Here is a 22,817-nt window from a genome sequence, read left to right as displayed (position 1 = left end):
CTGTTGAGCACTTGAAATATGGCTAGACCAAATTGAGATGGGCTGCAAGTGTAAAATATACAGCAAATTTCAAAGACTTAGTTCAAAAAAGGAGACTATAAAATAGTTTAGTGGTATTTTTAACACTCATTACAGAATAAAATGCCATTTTGGATATATTGGGTTAATTTAAAATTTTTTAAATTTTAAATATTATTAATACAGACAGGGTTTCACTATATTGCCCAGGCAATCCTCCTGCCTCAGCCTCACAGAGTGCTGGGATTACAGGTTTGAGCCACCACACCCAAACAGGTTAATTAAAATGTATTATCATATTATGAATATCTCTAATTTTTTAAAAAATACAAATGAAAGTTTATCATATACACTGTTCTAAATCCTGCTTTTTTCACTGAAAAGTGGAGGAAATTATGTCCTGTCAGTACATATAGATCTGCAGTGTTCTTGTTAACGGTTGCACAAAATTCTATTATATGATAGTAATAATCTAAGGAATTCTCTCCTGATCAACAACAGGTTGTCTTCAGTCTCTTACTATTACTATTATAACGCTGCAAGCAATATCCTTGTATAGTACCTTTGATAATATCTGTAAGGACTGTACATGTGTAAGGAGAGATACCCAAATTAGAATTGCAAAGTAGAACGGTATGTTCATTTACAATCTTGATGATGTTGCCAAATTGTTGTCCAAAAGGTGTACCATTTTTCATGCCCACCAACAGTGTATGAGAGTGCTCCATTCCCTATACCCTTTCCTAGGCTATATATTACCTAAAAGTCTTCCAAAATAAGTGGAGCACAGAGGATTTTTAGGGCAGTGAAAGCACTCTGTAGGATACTGTGATGGTGGAGGTATGTTAGAAACATTTGTCCAAACTTATAAAATGCACAGCACCAAGAATGAACCTCAACATAAACTATGGACTCTGGGTGATGATGTATCAATATAGGTTCATCAGTTGTAACAAACATACTATGGCAGGGGATGTTGATAATGAGAGAGACTATACGTGTGTGGGGCAGGGAGTATATGGGAAATCTCTGTACCTTACTCTGAAATTGTGCTGTGACCTAAAACTGCTCTAAAAAATAAACTCAATTATTTAAAAAGTCTTCTCAATTCCACAATTATTAACAACATTACTTTTATAGTTCCATTTTCTAAGTTTAAGTTTTTGATCCTTCTGAAAGTTGTTTCAGTGTAAGGAACAAGGAAGAAATCAACTGTATTTTTTTCCAGATGATTATTCCTACTGACGTGAACTACCCCCTTTTAAAAAACAAAATGCAACTTTGGGTCTATTTATGGGCTTTCTATAGTTGCTCCACTGAAATCACCAAATATTTTTGCACCAAAATATTTTAAATATCCTAATTGTAAAAACCGGTAGGACTGGTGGGTCATTTTCTCTGTTAGAATTTTCCTGCGATTTTCTTTTAAAAATTGAGGAAGCTTTAAATTTATGGATAAACTTAGGGGAACTGACAATCCTAAAATGTTGAGTGGTCCTAGCCAAGAATATATGCTTTGCCATTTACCCAAGTCTTCTTTTAAGCCATTCAGAGTTCAAATATATCTAGCACATTTCTTGTTAAGTTTATTCCTAGGTATTTCCTCTTTTTAACCTGTATTATAAATGAGATTTATAATCTCATTTATAAATGAGAGTTCATTATGTTTTCTAATCGGTTGTGTGTATACAGCTGAAAGCTACTGATTTTTAGCACTGATTTTATAACTAGTAACCTTATTAAAATTTTTTGTCTGTGATAGTTTCTTGGTTGATTTCATTGGATTTTCCATGTTAGAATGATCTGTAAATAATAATTTCCCCCTTCTTCCAATTTTTATATATTCCTTTTTTTGGTCTAATTACAACGGTTAATATTTTCAAAATGTGATATTTATCAACATTTCCACCGGGCTGCCTCTAGCAGATTTCCCAAGGATCTAAGTCCATGGACCTAAGAACTAAGCCACCCAGGAATCTCTGCAACTGAAGAAAAGTAACTTTATTAAAATCATTACAGATTCTGTAGAGACCTTTGTCTCACAGTGCCTAAAATCAACTTTGGGACTGAAACTTTAGCTAAAGGACATTGAATGGTTGACTAAATATTAAAATAGCTCCTTTTATATTTGGGAAATTAGTCCTCTTAAAAGATCCCTTCCCTAACATAAGTCTTATTTAAATTAAACTATAGTATTCAATCATTTCTCCTGGCTCTGCCTCTAAAAACCACAACTTGAAATGGGGCAGAGCTGAATTTTAAGGGCCTCAGTCCCTTCTTTCATAAAGATGGGTGTTGCATCAGGATAGATGACTGTAAGGTCTGTTCAAGTGTGAGAATTCTCTAATTCTACAACATAATTTAAAAAAAAAAAAATAAGGTTCCCCATAAGCCTTCATGATTTATCCATAACTGAGGTTAGCAAAATATACACATTCCTAGCACTGAAAGTATTTCCTCTTAACTAAATCTCATTACTCCACCATTAAGTTAGGATTTAGTGTTACTACTGTTTTCATTCAAGTGCTCCCGGCTGAGTAATATATGTCGGTGAATGTCTACAGCAGTGGCTCTCAAAATGTGGGCCTGAGATCAGCAACATCAGCATCATTTGGGAACTTGTTAGAGATGCACATTCTCTGGTCTTTACCCCAGACCAAGAATCAGACACTCTAAGGGTGGCACCCAGCAATCTGTGTTTGAGCAGGTCCTCACTGGTGTGACAGTGATAAATGGGCATGTATTTATACAAATAAGGTTTAATAAGTATAAATCATGAGACTAAATGGCATATTCTATCAAGTTGTGAAACATATAGAAGCCAGGTTGAGGCAGAGTGCTACAATGACAGATAAAAGGCTTAAAATATATATATGTATCAATCATTAGTTGTTAATCCTGACATCTGCCCATTATGCTGCCCCTCTCAAAGCCCAAAATACCTTATTCCCCTCTGAATACTTTGGTTGCTACGGATTTTAATACACATTCCCAGGGCCTACAATTTCTAAATTGCAAGAACCGTAAGGAAAAGATCTGCCATCTTAGGAGATGTTTTCATGTGTTATTGAAACAGGTTCAAAGAAAAGTTCTTTAGATTCATCTCCAGAGCTCTCTTGACCTAGCTCTGAATCTTCTAACAAGCCCCTGAATCTACTTTCATGTCTCACTCATCTGTGGCAAGCCTAACATGCCTCCCATCGACACTAAGATGATTTTAGGAATGCCTGTCCATTTGCTAGTCCATTGCCTTACTTCTGATTCCATTCTAGGGCTTAGGAGATGCTGTTAGGAAAAGATTCTCTTTGGCTCCTCGTTTGATGTTTTATATAATAAAACTAAAGAATTTGACATGGCTGCATAAGCACTGTCACTGAGTGTTCCTCCAGGAAAGAAGAAAATGGGCCTGGAGTAGGTCATTAATTTACTAAGAACAGAGAAGTCTCTACCTAATCAACTCTTCTTCCCTGGGAACACTCTCAGAAGGCCTTGCACATTAGAAGCCAGCAGAGAGATTTACATTTTTACATGCTGGACTTCAAACTATTGTCAAGGAAAGAAAGCCACTCGTAACAGGATGAATTTTTTGAATTCCTTGGGGATGAGTGAAGGACTAAGATATTGCGCTAACTGGTCACCAACTGTACACAAGGTTACTGAGCATACAAAAGCCGGGTGCTTCAAGTGGTCACATACCTGGGGCATTTTACATACCAGTATGAAATGATGAAGACTCTCTACTCTATTGCTACATTTACAATGTCACTAAAACATTGAAGATCATAACACTATGTGGGTACAGTTATCTGGAGTGGGGATATAGCTATTCACATGTCCAGCAAACTGATTCCCTAAGCAGAGAGGATTCATCCTTCTTCTGGCCCAGCTTACATCCTCGCTGCCCATACCAGGAACATCACTATCAAAATAATATGTAAAGTCACTGTTAAAGTGAAAAACCTTCAAAAGGGCTGTACTTTGTACATATTTGTATGAATCACTTTCTTCAAATAATTAAAATGAATGCTAAGGGCAAGCAACATGCTGGGTCTATATTAAAACAGTTTCAACAGCATCGCTTGGGGAATGGCTCTTTTTACCTGGGACACCTGGAGCGCATGAAGGTAGGCATGACTTTAAGTGCAGGAAGAGGTCCAAACGTGCTAATATATAAGAGGACAAAAAGTTTGTGGATGGAGGAAAGAAGGAAAGAGGTAGAAGAAAGGGAGACAGAAGGCCACCACCTCAGCCCCCAAGAGCTCTGAGATGCTATCATTCAACTTTGAGCCTCTATAGTCTAGGATAGTGTCTGATGCATTGCAGCAGATGAAGAAATATTCTTTTAATTTTACACTGAGGGAACTAAACTCTCTGATATCGAGATTAATTCAGATGGCTGAACACTCTAGCCTCCCTCAGGCTAGGCTGCCTGTGAGAGTCCAAAAACCCATCCGAACCTTCCTTCACTGTGCCCTCCTTGCAGGAGGTAGATAAAGAAGCCCTGTGGCAAAATGGAAGGGCAGGAGCCAACTCAAAGATCTCTTCTCACCTCACTGCTTCAGGAGCCATGTGCCTTGGGCAAGCCGTTCACCCTATCAGCCTTTGGGTGTGTTCCCATGGATACTGCAAGTGTACCTACCCTGCCTCTTTCATGGGATGACACTGTGAGCAACATGTAAGACCAGTGTCCCAAACTGCCATAAAAGACTTGTGTGATCAAGAGTAATTCCTGGCCAGGCAGAGTGGCTCATGCCTGTAATCCCAGCACTTTGGGAGGCCAAGGCGGGAGGATCGCTTGAGCTCAGAGTTTTGACACCAGCCTGGGCAACATGGTGAGACCCTGTCTCTATAAAAAATTTAAAAATTAGCTGGGCATGGTGGCACACGCCTGTAGTCCCAGCTACTTGAGAGGCGGAGTTGGGAGGTTCGCTTGACCAGGAGGTCAAGGCTGCAGTGAGCTGTGTTCACACCACTGCACTCCAGCCTGGGTGACAGAGTGAGACCTGCCTTAAAAAGACAAAAGAATAATTCCCACATACAAGCACTCATATCTTCTCTCCCAGCAATATACAGGGCAGTATTTGTGGGCTTTTCTTCTTTCAGGAATGTTTAAAACATTTTTATCCGAATGCTGTGGAGCCACTGCCTAGTGATGGATTACTTACAGGTTATGATGTGACCCATATTACTTGGAAAAATGGAAAACAGTGCATCTTCTCTATGTCCCTTCACAGCAAACAACTCAATGATGATCGCATTCATTAAATATGTGACCAAAATATATGGTTTGTTGGTTAATGAGAGGCAAATCTCAAGTAAAATTACATTTTTAGAAAGATTATGCTTGAAGTTAAAAAAAATTCTCATCACCTACTTTTTGGTGGGTAACCAGGCTTCCTACTGGAAACAAGAGTTTTCAGAGAATTCATAGATACTGTTACTCTCTTGCCTCTTCTCAAGGCTTCTCAAAGTACATGACTTTGGGAAGTAATGTTATGCTTCACATTTCTTATCCCAGGATGATTTTTAGTGCTATTGCACAGTGATACAAGAATACTCTGGCTACCCGAGCAGTTTATGAAATATTTTAGATGTATGTAAGTCCTGTCTGAAAGCTCCAAAACAATCCAGTGCACCATCTATGCTGGCCAAAGAATGAAAATATGGGAACACAATCTTCTACCAAACAACCAAAATGACTCTTCCCGTTTGCTCACGAAGAAAAGCTCAGCATTATTTAACCTTTCCCCTAACGTGGACAACATTAAAAAACATTTCACTTATGAATTTAGCAAACTAAAAGTAAGCATGAACTGGAAATGCCACAGAGAACTGCCATTATGTTCATAATTCAACTTTGCATTACTCAATGCAACCTAAGGGGCAGCTTTCGTACAGCACAAAATACGAACTACACATTTCTGAAAGGTCATGGGAACACTAGGAGAAAATAATAGAGTGAATTAGTGAAAAATGAATCCAGGGCAGATTTTTACACTAGAAGTCAGTGTTAATAAAGTTTCTTACTAACAAGGTATCATCATTCTCAGAAATGGAAAAGCTGTAATATTAAAATAACTTGCTAAGTGTTTCATGTAATTGTTTAGATTTTTCCCTACACGAGGCAGGTGAAAAGTTCTCCTTTCCTTTCCCTCTGTGTGTACAATTTATTGTTTGCCTTAGAAAAGTAATTTCCTAAAAACGCATTTTTCTTTATTAGGAACTCCAGTGACTCAACAGCTAAAAATGGGGAATCTAAGAGGGCTGAAAAAGATTTAGCTTGATATTAAATTATATTTTCATTACCATTAAAATATTTTTTCAAGTTCACTATAAATATTGATGTAAATTAATGCTTTAAAAAAGAGCATGTAAGTTATTTTTTGATAAAACAAATCCTCTGTAAAGGTTTCATGTATTTAAAAATACAAAAAGACGTTTCAAGTAGAAAACTAGCTTACATTCTTTCTGAAGAACAAACACATTAAATTAAATCCTCAAGGCTAAGGAGACTAAAAATGAAAAGACTAAGTCCTTATAATTGTATTAGGGAGCCAGAAAACATAGTACAAATGAGACTAGAACTTTCCGAGTAACTCTAGGTCAAAAAGATACACATTCCAAGATTATTTCCAAGCTAAAATCGTCACAAAATAAATAGAAACAAAGAATATAACACTATCATTCATAGAAAACAGAAGATGTCCTACACATATTGAAAAAACCCACTAAATTGAGAAGGATAAAAAAAAGTCAATTTATTGGCTGACCTACTAAACATTTCAAGAAAATATTGAATTTTCAAAGATGCATGATAGACTAGAACAAAAATTATAAATGTCAAAACAATAAATCACTTATGCAAATTAAAAAAAAATCAAGTTTTATTGTGATATTGATACTATATAAAACAAATATAAAAATATAAAAGTGATCAAAATATTTTCGTTAATTTTGCCTTCATAAACAATTAGCTTACGATCTATACTAATTTTTTTTACCTCAAATGAAGAAATTACTTTGTCATTAAAGTAGTACTTTTAGGCCTATCTAGTCTATTTTACTAGTTTATTTTAAAATAATTTAAGAAATAAGAAGAATAAAGATAAAAATCTTAATAAGCAGTTTGGTAAAGTTCAAGTTGGTCTTTGAACAACACATTTATCTATCCAGTAAAGCTTGTGTTAATGCGACATAAGAGTTTGGCAAATTCAACTTTAATGGAGCATAAAAGTGCTTTTGCTTGAAAGTGAGATCATTTTTAAAAATTCAAAGCATGATCACTTTTTCTTTTTTCGTAGGAACAATCTGATACAAGCAGCAAAGCTTAAATAAACTAGAAACATTTCAAATGATCCACAAAGGATTAATAAGCACTGCAGGAGGTCCTATAGGCTCAGCATATACATTTTCCATCTTTTCCCCCCATGATGGGCATGATATGAAATTCTAAACAGAAGTGAAGTTTCAAAGTCTCTGAATGTTAAAGGATTGTTGAACTGAGGTGAGAAGTCAACCTTAGGGATCTCTAATTTGAAATGGATCAAGATTATAATGATATTAGGACAAGAATCATTCAAATTTGGACATTCAATTAAAAAGGTCTTCTTGCTGATGGGAATAGCCAGCGGTCAGAAGCAAAACTAAGGCAAAAGGAGTAGTGGTAAGCTACGGGCCACTAATATAACAAAAACAAAATGACAGCTATTATTTTGGCAGAGATAATCTATGCTGAAACACAAAACACACACGCACACAATTTCTTTCAATACAATTTTCTTGTCTTCCCACTGACTCCTGTGATTACCACGGAAAGCAGGGTTCTAAACACATTTCTCAATTGAATCTTCAATCAATAATAGTAAAAATTCAGATGGAAAATATGGGAAAATGCATTATGGCATTAGTAACTGTTTACAAAATAGGCTGAACTTATCAATATGCGTGGAAGTTGATAAGAAGAAACCCCAGATACCTAAAACATCGTATTTTTGTCACCCCAAAGCTCAGTCACATTGCTTGTGCTCATCAAATCAAAGTTCTTTTCATTCTTAGGTTGGCAATCATCCTTCTTAATCCTTATAATCATTAATTCTTTGAGAATAAATACACCTCATAAAAACTCCTGTTTTAAATAAAAAATGTAAAAAGCCCCCAAAAAGTACATCAGCTGATTTTCTACTAAAGATAAAACACCAATTTCTCCTTATCTATAGACATAATTACAACTCAGCATTCTATCCTAAATTGAAGTCAGTAAGACCATAGCTTTTTAGTAAGTGCCCAGGTTTACTCCTGAATAAACACTCAGAGAGGAAATAAAAACTCCATTCCGTAGTTTTTATATGAAGTTTAGAATATGCATATTTAAAAATCTCTGTGTTTTAATAGTTCCTTGACAGAGGCATAAATTATTCATGCTACTATTATATAATGAAATTTACTCTCTTAAAATGAAATACAAATACTAAGTGAGAAAAGAGACATTTAGCAATATCAGTGAATGTTGGAATCAACAAGAGAAAAGCTTAAAAACAGACAAACAAGTAAAAAAAACTTGTCTCAAGTAAACAGCCTTAATGTTGGAGTACAACTGTCAACCTTTCATGTACTACTAGCCTTTGGTGAGAATACAAAGGGCCCTTACTAAGGCTTTGGCTATTTTATTGCTGATTCATATTACCACTAGCTGATAGGTAAAAGAAATGAAGTCAAAGCAATTCAGATTTCCACAGTCATAAATTTAATCATTTACTGAACACCTATTCTGTTTTTTGAACTTTCTAGTAAATTGGCAGATTAGGAAGCAAATTGCCACTCTTTTATGGAGGAGGCTTTCTGAAAAGAGCATATAGGCTTTAAATCAGAGAGGCCCAAACTTAAATCTCAGCTCTACAATGTATTATTACCATTCTAACATTGGTTGTGTTTACTACAAGATTCAGCTTCCTTACCTGTAAAAATGGAAAAAATACCACCCACCTCACAGGGTTGCTGCAAGAATTAAATGATACCATTTAAAAACGTACATACGTAAAAAATATTTAGCAAGTGTTTGGCAGCTAAAAAAATATTAGTCTTTCTTCTTTCCCCTGTTCTCCAGAAGTCTACAACCTTATAGGGAACAAAATGATTTGCCAAATAAAAGAACGACTATAAGAGACTATATTAAAGAAAATGGGGGGAGAAAAGTTATACTTTTAAAGTTCTTTAGGGATTCAGAGGAAAAAAAAAAAAACATTCCATAGCTGTGATGTCCACGAAAGGCTTCCTAGAAGTGAGATGGGTTTAGGTCTTAAAGGTGAAGGAGAATTGAAAAAGATAAAAATGGCAAGTGGGTGACGACAATCCCAGCAGTTGTGTGAAAACAAGGAGGTCTGTCTAGAGGAATGATAATTTGACAGTGTTGCTGGATGATAGAGTCTGTGGAAAGGGAAGGTTGGATTTATAATGTCTCAAATGCCAGAATAAAGAGTTTGGCTATAATGCTACATAAATTTAATTAAACCACTATAGCACTCACAAATATGTATAAAGTGTACGTTATATTCTAGAGTGGTATACAAAATAGGATAGGATGCTAACTACAGAGTTAAGGTAAAAAATTTGCTCAAATTCATTTGGCTTACATACACTATAATCTAACCCACAAAGAGCAATCACGATTAAAAATAAAGAGTTCCAGCCAGGTGCGGTGGCTCACGCCTGTAATCCTAGTACTTTGGGAGGCCGAGGCGGGCGGATCACCTGAGGTCAGGAGCTCAAGACCAGCCTGGCCAACATGGCAAAACCCCATCTCTACTAAAAACACAAAAATTAGCCAGGCGTGGTGGTAGGCGCCTGTAATCCCAGCTGCTCGCGAGACTGAGGCAGGAGAATCACTTGAACCCGGGAAGTAGAGGTTGCAGTGAGCCGAGATTGTGCCACTTCACTCCAGCTTGGGTGACAGAGCGAGACTCCATCTCAAATAAATAAATAAATAAATAAATAAATAAATAAATAAATAGTTCCAGAAAAACGAAAATGAAAGGGAGATATGAGTGCTACTTAAAAATACTTGGGAAAAAACCATAAAGGAAGGTGGGTATACTCATGTAACACTGAACATAGGTATGTAGTAAGAAGTGAGGCCTAGAACAGAGAGAAGAATGTTTAGATTAACTATGAGGAAAAACTTCTCAATATGGAGCTTGTGAAGATGAGGAGAGAGCCCAGCAAGAGACTGCGGGAGCACCATTAATGCAAAATATTCAAAAGATTTTCAAAGCACAGTGGCACAAAGATAGATTTCTCAAGATGCAGTGTTTTCGCCTGGGTGACCCGTAGACGACATGTTAGTTCTACAATTTATGACTTTTGGATTAAAGCTGGGAGAGGGGGGTGTCCTTCCAGACATGGAGAGCCCTTAATGATAGCACAGCTACACAACTGCACAGTGATCAAGAGTTACTGAACTAAGAAAAACCTTGGCAAGTATTCCCTCAATTATTTCGGCCCTTGGGCATTTCGATGGGAAACTACTCATTGATATTATTCTTTTTCCAACATTCATTTTATAGAATATCAAGACAGAGTCAAATGTTGACTTACTATGGTAAATAGAGGGGAAAAAAGCCTGCTTTGATTTCCTTTCCTTTATTACCACCTTGGTTTTGTGTTGTAGAATGTCGATTAGGTTTGAAAAGAGGGTGGAAGATGGGGGGGGGCATACTCTTCCCTTCAATGAAGACAAAAGATAGCAGCTATTTCATTCTGTTCTGTGAGTATGCTACCCCCCTTAATTCTTTCACCATCATATTAAACTATGATTTTCAACAGGGTCCTCAAAAATGTATTACATTTTACCTTTATTCTAAAAAAATTAGTAAGCAATTATAGAGAAAGGATAAAAGTAGGACAAAAATGTTTTTGTTTTTTTAGACCAGCTAAAATTTTCAGAGTTTAAAATGACTAGAAAGGCAAACTGTTAGGTATTCAGAAGGAAAATGTGAATGTTTTCCCAAAGGCATTATTAACAATTAATAATCATTACACTGGTGCCTTGTTTACCTGACCTTGTGTAAATTCAGCAGCCTGGTAATTAGACCCATATTTTGCACATTTGTATATTTCCATGCATAGATTTGACTCATTCATTCATCCATTAAAATTTGCTTGACAGACGTAGATGAATAATCAAGCTACAATTTGTATTTACTGGATTATAGAAAATTGCCCAAACTGTTAAGTTCAAGGAAAGCACATTCTTGTCTCTCTCTTGTGACTGATGTAAAGCAATTACACATCAGAGGATTGCCCCAAAGCTCTCAAAAGAAGTGGCACTGCTTTTGCAATCTGGGGTCTTCAACAGTATCTTTTTTCTTAATGCTAGAGATTGTTTAAAGATTAACTAACACAGGGAAGAAAATCTCCCTGTGCCTGTAAGTTTATTATTTAAGTCATTACACTGCCGTTTTACAGTAAAAAGCAATGTTCTGATCAACCTTCCACATCCAAAATAAACAATGATGCAACCTTATTCTGCAAAGTCATTGAAAGGCTTAAGGAGGAGAAATAAGGCAACTTTTTTTGGATAGGTTTGTGAAAAATGCTTTTTCCCCACGTTTCTAGAAAACAAATTATCAACAAGACCTGACCAGACCTCTTCCTAATATTAATCAGTGAGAAAGGCACTGTAAGATTTCAAATTAATGTATTTTCATGCAAAGAAGCAGAACACATTTTAGTACTAACTGCTCCCTAAATGCAGATGTTTAGTACTAGTCAAACATGCTGTCAGGTGAAACTGTATTTTATACTATGGTATTTATTTTGCTTTTGCAGTCACTAACCAAACCATCACTAATATACATTTTCTGGTCCAAGGTGCAGTATTTCTTTTACACAGCTGAAGATACAACAATTTTGCTGTCTTAAATCAATCTCTTCAAACTGCTTATTTTGATTGTCTACTTTAGAAGAAAAGGAACGATTCCTGACTTAAAAAAAAGTGTGCATATAGCCAGCATTATCAAATTTTTTAAACCTTAGATCATAAAACAAATTTTTAAAGAAATATACATAAAGATGCAAGTATATATTTATATACTTTTTACTACAGACATTTAGCACCACAACTGAAAAAGAATTGCTTAGAACCCGTTTTCATAAACGTTAACATTTATGCAGTTCAAAATTTGGCTTGAAGTAAATTCTCTGGTTAGGTAACGGTTAGACATCATGCATGTCTTACTTATAAATTCAACAAATAAAAAGGTTCCCTAAATTTCTGAAATATACAACTGATTCTCTTAGTATTACCAAAACCTAATTTGTTTCTTCCAAATAGCCCATCTTTTCTTCTCATAAGACAAACATCGTGATGGATATCTAACTTCTGTGATGATGGCCTCCAATCACAAAAAAGATTACCAGAGAACCAGGTAAAGCATTAGTTTAGAAAATGAGTTGTTCCTATAATCTACATGCTTATAAATACAGAAATGGAATTCAGATCCTTCTAGAGAGTGTGACTTCACATAAAACTGAGTGTTGGCTGGGTGTGGTGGCTCACACCTGTAATCCCAGCACTTTGGGAAGCTGAGGCAGGCAGATCACTAGAGCCCAGGAGTTCAAGATCAGCTTGGGAAACATGGCGAAAGCCCATCTCTACAAAAATACAAAAATTAGCTGGGTATGGTGGCACCTGCCTGTAGCCCCAGCTACTTGGGGGGCTCAGGCGGGAGAATCGCTTGAGCTGGGGAGGCAGAAGTTACAGTGAGCTGAGATCACACCATTGCACTCCAGTCTGGGCAAAGGGAGTGGAAACCCTGTCTCAAAAAAAGACAAAACAAAACAAAAATAAAAAAATACAACAACTGAGTATCTGCTGAGTCTATGGCATTGTAATAGATGTTTCAGGGGTTTTACATCAAGAAGACATGGTCCTGGCAGTTTAACATGATAAAACAACTTTGATTTTAAAGCCAAACACAAAAGCTAGGTGTCTGACTCTTGCCCTCAACAGAACACTGAGAGAGTGGTGGTGGGGACAGGGTGTTAGGATTCTGAAAGGGGAGGGACTGCTGTCCAAGGAGTCAGAGGCTGCTCAGAGAAAGCTTTATCCAGTGTGTGACTTAGGTGATTTCTTTTTGGTTTGTTATCTGTTTGGTTGGTTGTCTTTTACAAGGTTCCAAGTGTTGCAAATTATATTTCACTCTATCTGTTAAAGACAAAAGGAAAGTAACACAAAAGTACAGCTCTTCTATCAATGGCTAGTGATGGTCTGACAAAAAGAAAAGCCATCTAAACTCATGTTCACTCCTTTGCTCTAGCTTATTCCTACAGAGTTGCTTCTACTAGCAACCCCAGAACAGAAATGAAATACTGCATTACTATTATCTGAAAATACTTAATTCTGTACCACATACTCAAGTTATCTTCCAAAAATGGGAAATAGCCATTCTGAAGGTAGACAAAGGGGACAGGTTCCCTGAAATCAAGGCCATACAATTCTATAATGAGCCTTCTCTGCTGAACTATCTTCTTCTGTCAGACAATTAGGTGCTCCATAACTACCAGTCAAGTATGGAACAGGAAGGAAGTCCACTGGGCATATGACCAATAAATATAACAGCTCTCCAAAAGGAGGCAAAAGCCAACTAGGCTCTGTCATTCTTGTGCAAGAGTGCACTTGTGCATGCTAGGGCTAGGAAAAGAGCATGTAAAACCAGACAAATACACATGTATATACACATGGTGCTAAGGGCTTCTCAAAACTGTACTCTGGGTATTTAATTATGGTGTTAATAGGAAAAAGATATGACTGACTAGTTTTAAGAGAACCTAAACCAACAAGAATTTGAAAATCAGCCTTGGTGCTAAGAAGCCAGTTTCCTGGTCATGGTCGTGAGGGCAGGAAAGGTGCTATTAAGTAAAAGAAAAGATCAATACCACACCTGTGGTTCAAGAACAAGCTAGAAACACAGAAAATAATTTTAAGGTGAAAACCTGCAAAATATGTGTATGTGTATGATGCAAGACTAAGTTTAATTTCTTAGAGATTCCTAAGGTGATTGAAGTTTAGACAGCAAGAGATTAAAGATGACATTTTAGAAAATGCCATCCACTGGCTGTGAAGTCATTAACAATAAAAAGTAAGAATTGGGTATTCCATCAAACATAAATACTACACCCACAGCTTTTCTGAAGGTTCCAAAAATCACTCCCTTGCTCAAATAAGCAAATCCTGTGTCAGCCATGTCCCTGGCACTATGCTTTGCTCAGGTGACATGAAGCTAAACGCAACACAACACAGCACAGCTTGTGTTCACAAGGAGCTCAAGGCCTGTGAGGGAAAAAGAGCCAATCAACTTGGCAGTAGGTGCTGCCACAGAGGTGTGTACAAAAGGTTATGAGAGCATGCAGAAAACAGTAAGACATTTTGCCTGGACAGCTGAGTGAAGAAGGCTTTCCAGAGACTGTACCACTGAAGGCAGAAGAATTTCACAAAGTGGGATGTCACAAGTGGTGGGCTATGGTACTACGCAGAGGAAATGGCAGGAGTGAAAGTGTGGAGATAGTCAAGCATAAGGGATCCCTGAGGAATGCCAAGCTCTCCAGTGCGGCAGGCAGATGGTCTGCAAGGGATACTGAGGGTAGAGAAGGTGGAAAGGCTGGCTTGGGGCCTAATGCAGTGCTCCCAAATCTGAATTTTAATCGGTAAGAAATGAACAACCACAGGAGGTTTTTAACCTGGAAGATGACATTAATCCTGTTTTGGAAAAATAATCCTGGAAATGATATAGAGAATGGACTGATACAAAGACAAGGGAGATCGATTAGCAAGCTAAGAACGAGATGACCAGGAATTGAATTAAAGCAGTGAGAATGGAAGAAAAGGCAATGTAAGTGGAATATAATACAACACCACGATATCCAATGTGGAAACTTGTGGGCTTTGGTCATCCTGGGCTGGGAAATACTGGAGGGTATTGCTCTGAATACCTCACAGGAATACTGTGAGGGACAAACTAGGTACAGTATAAAAAATGCTTTGAAAACTGCAAGGTACTGTGCAAAATACAATGTATATTAACAATAATGGAATCCTCTTTTAAAATCACTTTTTGAAGGCACTTTAAATACTTTTGGTGTGTGAGAGCAGGGAAAATGGTGTTTAGGGAGGAGGGTTCAGACAGCCTACTTCAGTACTGACATGCTTGTGTAGACAGGTAGCTAAGTAAAACAAGTTTGAAAAATTTTCAAAGTTCCCACAGGAACTGTGAAGAAGGCCAAAACATTTCAAAAGATGGGCAGTCCTGTATTTTCACTCAAGTTCCTATATGCTGAAGAAGTTGCAGAATCCCATTTCTGTTATCTGATTCCTACAAGGAATATTGAGAAATGCAGCCTAGGGATTGCTCCATTTTGACTTTCAGGCCCTGCTCATGGAGTGCTAGGCTGTGCAAAAAACTAGGCACTTCCTATAGATGGAAAGCTGAAGCTAGTCCAAAAGAGACTATGGTGAGTCACAGTCAAGGTCGAGAGGGTAGTGACAGAACTGAAGGTCTCAAAACTACTTTAAAAGCTTGGAAAGACCATAATTCCTCAGCATACTGGATCAGATGATGTCATGAAATCATTAGGCAGGTCCCCTAGAAGAGATACAGGAAAGATGACATTTCTATGCACACTACTCCTCACCTAGGTTTATACAATCATATTCACAACAGAGAAGAGGCGAGGTTGAGCAATGCTAATGATCCACTATTTGTCAAGAGTCAGCAATAAATCTGAAGACTTAAGAAGCATGGTAAATTCCCACTAAAAATGTATAAATACGAAGAAGATACAATGGTTATTTTTGCTTTCCAAAAATTATTTTGGGTCACATGAGAACTCATTTTTGTGTTTTAGAAATTTAACTCCCTTCTTATTTATAAGTACACAATCAACTTGATACAGGCGTGAAAGTATATATACCTTTTACTTTCATATTCTCATATATAGCACATGGTAATTACATGTTAACTATTCAGTGGTACATTAGAATTCATTAACATGTATTTTTAAAGGGTTTTCAAACCCTTAAAAATCCTTTTAGAAATCTCTCTAGGCGTATATACACATACAGATATTTATGTAAATCTAAGAATTTTACAAAAGTAAAATTACAATACAAAAGCTGGTATTTTAAAAACTTGGCAGTATTATGTGGCTGAATATTTGAACTAATCAATAAAGGTTTACAAAATAAAATTTAAAGGCTACATATTAACAATGCATTTATGTAGAATATTTTTAACATTTCATGGATCCTCAGTACTCTTTTGAGAACCAAAAGGTACTCCTTAGGTATATAAATCTAACAAAACATGTACAGGACCCATAAGCTGAAAACTATAAAATGTTAATGGAAGAAAACAAAGAAGATCCAAATAAATGAGACATAAAGTGTTCATATATTGGAAGACTTGACATAATAAAGATGTCAATTGTTCCCCAATTGATACGGATTTAACACAATTCCAATAAAAATTTTGTTAATAAGGACAAGCTGACTCTAAAATTTATATGGAAAGGCAAACAAACTAGAATTAAGACATTTTTGAAAAAAATAAAATGGAAGAATTGCACTATACAAGACTTACTATAAAGCTACAGTAATCAAGGTGTGTGGTATTGGCAAAAGAATAAACAGAGAGATCAATGGAAGAGATCAAAGAGTCCAGAAATAGACCCACACAAATATGCTCAAATGGTTTTTAACACGGGTGCAAAAGCAATTCAGTGGAAGAAGGACAGACTTTTCAGCAAATGGTGTTGGAACAACTGGACACACACAGACCAAAGAAAAAAATTGAACTCTGCCCTAACTTTATAAAAATTAATTCAAAATGGATCATAGACATAGATAATATTTGAGTTCTTAGTCATGAGATCAAAAGCACAATCAATAAAAGAAAAATATTGATATACTGGACTTGATAAAAATTAGAACTTTTTCTCTGTGAAAGACACTATCAAGAGAATGAAAAGACAAGCTACAGACTGGGACAACATATTTGCAAATCACATATCCAACAAAGGATCTGTATCTAGGATATATAAAGAACTTTCAAAACTTAGCAATAAAAAAAAAAAATCCAATTTTTTTTAAATGGGGGAAAACTTGGGACACTTCACCAAAGTGGATATAAGGATGACAAATAAGCAGATGAAAAGATGTTCAACATCATTAGTCATTAGGGAAATGTAAATTAGTATCATGATGAGCTACCATTCCATACATATTAAAATGTCTAAAATAAAAAATACCAACAATATCAAGTGCCAGTGAGCACGCCCAGTAAATGGAACTCTCATACGCTGCTGACGGGAATGAAAAAAATACTGCCATTCTGAAAAATAGTTTGGCAATGTCTTAAATGGTGAAACATACACTTAGCATATGAGCCAGCAACCCTACCCCTGGATATTTATCCTAGAGAAATGAAAACTTACGCACTGACAAAATACCTGTACGTGAATGTTTATAGCACCTGAACTCATAATTTCCCCAGACTGGAAACAATCCAAACATCCTTCAGTGAGTAAATGGATCAAACAAACTGACAGATCCATATGATAGAATACATTCAGCAATAAAAGGAATGAACCAAGGGAAAGAAGATAGTCTCAAAGGCTGTATGAGTCTATTTATATGACATTCTCGAAAAGACAAATTTCTACTGATGAGAACATATCATAGTTGACAGAGTTAGGAGTGGGAAGGAGGGTGTGCTTATAAAGGAATAGCAGGAGGGAGTTTTATAGGACTATTTTGGGAGTTTTTAGGGTTTTTGTAGGAACTGTTTTCTATCTTGATTGTGGTGGTGAATGTATGAATCTATATACATGCTCAAATTTGTAAAAGAACAAACTCAGCTATAGACTTGAGTAGGTTAAAATGGATGCATATTTGAATATAGGAAAGTTATCTTTTTACATGGCTTAATATCTAGGTTTAATTTCTAGAAAGCGATAGTAGTAAATATACAGCTGATCCTTGAAGAACACAAGTTTGAACTGTGTGGGTCAACTTATACATGGATTGTTTTAGACCAAACCACATGAAACCCACACATATGGTGAGCTGGCTTTTCCTATCCGAGGATTCTGCGGGGTCAAGTGTGGGACTTCAGTATGCACGGGTTTTGGTATACATGGAACACTGCCCCCCACCCCTAGTATACGTAGGGATGACTACTTGACTGTTGGAACCACTGATCATGGCGTTGAAGTTCTCTGTCTTCATGACCCACTGGAAGGACGAAATGAATTGAAGATATGATTTAGTTTTCTTTCCCAAATCCTCAGAGCTGAAATTTTCTTGTGACGAAGCTCCAATGGAAATGTTAGAATTTTCCTCCAATGTCCTTTGGGGGAATTGTCCTTCAAATTTCATTTTATATTCACAGATCATGTACCTACCCACTCCTTGCCAAGCAAAGAAACACACACCTTACAAAGTTTCATTCTGTGCATCTTTGGGATTGGCAGCATATTCAGTATGGTGGGTCGCAGATGGAAGATCATGCCAGAAAGTATGACCCTGTTCTGTATCTTGACTGTGGTAGTAGATATATGATTCTATGCATTTGTCAACACTCACAGAACTGTAAACCAGAGTGAATTGTACTGAATATAAATTTAAAAATAAATTTGCAAAATGCAAACAACACCCCTCCCCCCAAAAGTAACACATGCTTATTGTACAACACTTAGACTAACAGAAATATAAAGACACAAATTAAAACACCCATATCCCTACCACTCAAGATGATCACTATTAACATTCTTGTATTTATCTTTCCAATTATTTATTTACACTTGTCTATATGTACATAGTATCTTTATCACATAACTGAATCATTCCTTATATACTAATCTGTTTCCTCCTTTTCTCCCCCGTTAACATTTATCTCACATTTTCCTGTGTCTTTATTCTCACAAAATGTTGCTACAATTGCTCAGATCATATACTTTTCCATTGATATAGCATAATGTATTTAATAAACATTTATTCTTAGATATATCCAATTTTTTTTACTACCAAAAAGAATAATTCATCAATGTATATTCTTGCACATAAATTTTGGGCTTTTTTTTTTTTTGAGATGGAGTCCCACTCTGTCGCCCAGGATGGACTGCAGTGGCACAATCTCAGCTCATTGCAACCTCTGCCTCCTGGGTCCAAGCGATTTTCCTGCCTCAGCCTCCCAAGTAGCTAGGATTACAGGCATGTGCGAAGACGCCAGGCTAATTTTTATATTTTTAGTAGAGACAGGTTTCGCCATGTTGGCCACACTGGTCTTCAACCCCTGACGTGAGGTGATCCGCCTGCTCAGCCTCCCAAAGTGCTAGGCTTACAGGCGTGAGCCACCACACCCGGCCTGGGGTACATTTCTTTAGGATAAATTGCTACAGTCAAAGGTGAAGGTTCTGGAGTCCATAAAGTCAAAACATTTTTTATAATATTACGATGATATTATTGGTGTTTTTTCACTGTGTTGACATTTGCATTAATGGTGCAAAGTCAATGATGGGTAAAACTCCTGGCACATTAGCATCAATCAAAGTAGTGGCCCCCCGTGGCCGGGCGCGGTGGCTCACACCTATAATCCCAGCACTTTGGGAGGTTGAGGCGAGGGGGGTGAATCACCTGGGTCAGGAGTTCAAGACCAGCCTGGCCAACATGGTGAAACCCTGTCTCTACTAAAAATACAAAAATTAGCCGAGCGTGGTGGTGGGCACCTATAATCCCAGGTACTCAGGAGGCTGAGGCAGGAGAATCACTTGAACCCAGGAGGCAGAGGTTGCAGTGAGCCAAGATCGCGCCACTGCACTCCAGCCTGGGGGACAGAGTGAGACTCCGTCTCAAAACAACAACAACAACATAGTGGCCCCAAACTGTACTATTCATCATTGTATTTCTCATCATCACATGCTCAGGATCTAACAAATAGAAAATTAAGCCAGTTTCACTAAAGAAAGTCCTCAATGAAAGTAAAATTTTATTAAATTGCAACCTTTAAATATATATCCTTTTATTATCATGTGTTGAAGTACAGTATTTGTTTCCAGGAAAAGCACCTGTGTAACTGTCTGAGCTGCAAGCTGAACTAACCACTCTGTTCAAATAATACCATCTTTACTTGAAAGAATAACGGATAGATAACTATGGTTATCCAGACCTGGGTATCTGGCAGACATCTTCTCAAAAATTAACCAACTGATCCTGTAACCTCAAGAAAAACCAACTGACAGTATTTGTAACCAACGACAAATTTCTAGCTTTCAATTAGTTTTCACTGGAACATTTGTATCCACCACGATGAGCTCAACAGCTTCCCAATATTTAGACTTTTCTGATGAGACTGGTGATGATATGAACAAATGCGATTTCAAAAAACTATATAATGAATTGGAAATTCTTCATGTCAGTGAACCAGTATTTTCTAAGTGACCAAGGCATGATGTTACAAAATCATGCATGGGTAAATGATCTGCTCAAAGTGCAAGACAGAGCAATGGATTTTAATATACCAGAGCACAAAAAGTTTACCGATATGATTTCAGATTCCACATTGTAAATAACCTTTAAGAAACCATATCATTACCAGATTTGGTGTAGTGACAAAAAAAGAATATCCACATAAACTAAAACTCTTCATTTTCCTCAGTACTTTAAGAGTATACAGAGGTCCCACAAACCAAAAGGTTTGAGAACCACTGTGCTATACCACTTGCATACATTCGTCAGTAAGAGAATCTATTTTGCTGGAAAATTTTAAAGAGGTCTCTCTTGAATCTGGGCTTTCCTTTGATCTTTCTTTGCTGATCAATTTCTGGAAGAAGTGGCTCTTGAGGGAAAGCTGTAGTTGAGAGAAATCATCCTCAAAAGATTAGCCATAACTTTATCCACATGATTTATAAATCGTTAGTATACATATAGATGTAAATCCTGGGTAGTTTTCTTTTTTTCTTGCCACTTGATGCCAAGATTCTTGAACATTCTTTGATGGTGGATGGAGACGGAAGCCCTGCTAGGCTGGGCTCCTGAGAGCTGGGCTGGCAAATCATCTAGGTTCCCAGAAACATCAAGAGCTCCTCAAACAGCCAAGAAACCATGAGCACTTGAATGGTCTGAATGAGGCCAAGGATCTTCCGGGAAACAAGCTGGGTGATGGACCTCACAAAACTACCCACCCTGAGAGTTACACTATAGCACAGTAAAAACGAAAACAAAAACTTGGAAGAAGTGTCAAGAGTCAGATGAGTTTTGAACCAAGACAAAAAGTTATACACTGGTTTTCAAAAGCAAGCTGAGGTCAGCCAGGCATGGTGGCTCACGCCTGTAATCCCAGCACTTTGGGAGTTCAAGGCAGGTGGATCACCTGAGGTCGGGAGTTCGAGATCAGCCTGACCAACATGGAGAAACCCTATCTCTACTAAAAATACAAAATTAGCTGAGGGTGGTGGCACGCGCCTGTAATCCTAGCTACTTGGGAGGCTGAGACAGGAGAATCGCTTGAACCCGGGAGGCAGAAGTTACAGTGAGCCGAGATCATGCCATTGCACTCCAGCCTGGGCAACAAGAGCGAAACTCTGTCTCAAAGAAAAAAAAAAAAGCAAGCTAAGGTCAACACGTGATTTATGCCAAGCTCAAAACAAACCAACACCCACCATTTGAAAAACACCAGTGCTCTAATTCTCATCAATAGTAGTATTTCTTGGAATCCAGGCTTAGAGAATTTTTCCATGGTACCTTGGAAAGGCAGCTGAATTAACCCACTCCTAAACAGAAATATGGTTATTCCATTAAGACAAGACTAAGGTAGACAGGATCATCTGGAAATTCCTATCTGTAACTATCTACAAAGGGCTGATTTCCATATGTGAACCAAAATGTACATTCTCTGGGCAAACCAAATATGAAAAACAGCCATCGCCTGGGGCGCTCTCCTCCCATCTCTTGTTGACGCATGCAGCAGAGAACTGATAGTCCCGTTTTGTTCCTTGAAGTCAAGAAGGTCAACTGTGTGAAAATCTCACTTTTGAAAGGTTAAATGAAATCTGTTCTGGTTCAATTTCTTACTCTACTACAAGACAGTAGCTCTAGATGACTGGAGTTAGACCTGAAGTTGAGTTTTTCCTAAATACACCAGGTTAGAGAAATCAAACTGAAGAAAGGAATTCTACTGTTTTGGCACAAGTAGTTTTCTGTTTTTACCCACTTGTTTTCAGATATCTGACAACTCCTATGGCATTTCCTCAGCATTTCAGAAAGCTTTCAATTTTCCCGTCAGAGGAGGCAAACCATAACAGAAGTCGCTGAAACCCCAGGTTCAACACGTGCTTCCTTTCAATGGCTGTACTAGTCCATTGCTGGATGGCTATCATCAGCCTTCTGGACTCATGCCCCAGTCAGCCTTGTGACCTGGCCTAGCTTGTAATGCGAATAGCGAAGGCTCTTGATCAATCCTGCTCTAAGAGTGACTGCAAAGAAGATGCTAAGCAACTTGGTATCCATAACTGGCTGTCTTCCAAGTTATTATGGGCAGGATACCGGACTAGGGTCTCCAAGTATGGTCACAGTCTTGATGCTACTATGTGTGACCTGGGAGAGTCACTTGATAGCACCAACCTCTCAGGACATCGTGAACTCATTCAATAAAATTTACCGAGCACCTATCACGTTAGGCACAATACTGGGTGCTGCAGTATTCTGTGCTATTGTAATATTCTGTGCTGTAGTATTCTGCAGTATTCTGTGC

At 37.4% G+C, this 22,817-nt stretch overlaps 1 protein-coding gene across 11 annotated transcripts in view; it reads right to left on the bottom strand.

Moving 5' to 3' along the window:
• The window catches only part of POLA1 (DNA polymerase alpha 1, catalytic subunit), a 303,069-nt gene that overhangs the window by 123,004 nt on the left and 157,248 nt on the right, over positions 1–22,817 (bottom strand). The window contains exon 35 of one of the 11 annotated variants that reach the window (XM_017029596.2): positions 15,967–18,656. The exons of the other annotated variants lie outside the window; for them this stretch is intronic. Coding sequence (XP_016885085.1) covers positions 18,642–18,656 — 15 coding nt within the window. The 3' untranslated portion in view covers positions 15,967–18,641. Of the gene's footprint in view, positions 1–15,966; positions 18,657–22,817 lie in introns of those variants that run through there. 11 annotated transcript variants of the gene reach the window in all.

This window comes from Homo sapiens, chromosome X, assembly GCF_000001405.40.
Source record: "Homo sapiens chromosome X, GRCh38.p14 Primary Assembly".
In the NCBI taxonomy this organism is placed as follows: domain Eukaryota; kingdom Metazoa; phylum Chordata; class Mammalia; order Primates; family Hominidae; genus Homo; species Homo sapiens.
This window is presented reverse-complemented; position numbering and strand designations above follow the sequence as displayed.